At 45.1% G+C, this 1,646-nt stretch overlaps 1 annotated feature.

The window, feature by feature from the left end:
* Positions 446-1,063: an enhancer, noted in NCBI's record as "H3K4me1 hESC enhancer chr8:2230117-2230734 (GRCh37/hg19 assembly coordinates)". NCBI's record gives its function as "activates a minimal SCP1, AML or CMV promoter by ChIP-STARR-seq in naive H9 embryonic stem cells {active_cell/tissue: H9 hESC(naive)}" and the evidence as "EXISTENCE:reporter gene assay evidence [ECO:0000049][PMID:30033119]".

Genomic DNA, 1,646 nt, shown 5'->3' with positions numbered 1-1,646 from the left:
AAAATACTCCGATTTCTTCAGGGCTTGCTATCTATTATGTGATGCTATACCAGAGTCAGGCTGGAACTGAGTATCTTATTGCTACCAAGAATCTGTTTTGTCAGTCTTGGGTTCTCTGTTGTTTCATGTAAATGCTGGTCATTTGCACCTGAATTGCAATGGGAGAGGGTATAAGGAGGTGTGTCTGACCCCCCTTTCCCGGCACGGCCTGAAATCATTTTTCAGGTTTCTTTCAGATCCCCTTGGCCAAGAGCAGGGCTCCATTCAGCCAACTGGGGCTTTAGAATTTTATTTCTGGCTTACACCAAATACCCAAACTTTGCATGAAACTTTTGAAAAGATCCCAAGTCTTTGCATTAAAATTCTAAAAAATGGTATCAAAGAAGAATGGCGATGCTCCCAACACCTGCATAAAGCAAGCGGAGAAATCTGACACATAGATCAAGCATTTGATAAAAGGCCAAGATTTTTAATACATCATTACATATAAGGCAGTGTGAGAAGCGGGCAGAAGCTCGCTCGTCACCAGGCCTGGAAGAGTGTCATGGCGGACAAGGCTGGGGCAGTCACGGGGGAAAACAGTCCACAAGGAGGCGCCACAGGAGCAGCCGCTGAACCAGCAAAGCAAATCCCGTTGGGATCTACTCAGTTGTGATGTAAGTGCAGTTACAGGAGCGCTCATTAGCATAATACTGAGCAATAGAGCGGTGGACATGAGAAGTGAGACCCCAACCACAGGGAGAAATCAAAACCACTTCTGCCTCCACTGTGGGTGCTGCTGAAAACACGGAGGTTACAACACGCTGATCCTCTTGATTGCCGAACTGGATAAGATGTTTTTCGTTTTCCCTAAGGGATTTTTGCAGCTACTTGAAGACAACAGAAGCCTGTTGCTGTTGTTTTCTTTTAAATTGGGCATAGCTATTTGACACAGAGGACGCCATCACTGACAGTGGCTGGACGGGGCCCATGCACTGACGAAGGCGAGACCGCCTTTTTCCCCTGTGCAGACTTCTGCTGATGACTCCCAGAGACAGATGCTTGGTTAAGAGGCAAACTGCCTTTCAGATTTTAATGTTCAGGAAGGAGAGATAAACCCGTTGGAGTTTATAAATAAAGACCAGAATGGCTTTCTCATTTGCTGTGATAAACTTTTGAGATTTCTGCAACAGATGAAATCATGAGGTATTTGTCTTCACACGCAATGTTGTAGCAAATAACACTTTTTTTCTCCGTAGTGGTCTGGCTGATACTTTTCAATCTTAGAATTATGTCAGGAAGAAAGTTACAAGTAGGTGCTAATGATCTTCAACACCCCCTCCCTTTAATTCTTGCTAATTCCGTCATAACAAAGAAAATAAGTTCAGCAGGAGAAGACCAACATCAGAGCTGCCCACAGGAGAGACACCAGATGAACGTGAAATGCAGCCCTGCACCCATTCACCTGGAGACGTCCAGGTTGGGCACGCAATGCGTGTGAGCCCAAGGGCTTCAAAAATCAATTAACCATGTGGTTTTCTTGTGCTAGGAGGCCACTCCACCTCCTCCACATTCTGGGCTTTACCTCCAACTTAAATCCACACTGCATAGAGTCTTCCTAGTTGTACAAAATAACTATTGCTTGCACAAGGCTGTGCAAAGTTCTC

Source organism: Homo sapiens, chromosome 8, assembly GCF_000001405.40.
Source record: "Homo sapiens chromosome 8, GRCh38.p14 Primary Assembly".
Taxonomy (NCBI): Eukaryota; Metazoa; Chordata; class Mammalia; order Primates; family Hominidae; genus Homo; species Homo sapiens.
This window is presented reverse-complemented; position numbering and strand designations above follow the sequence as displayed.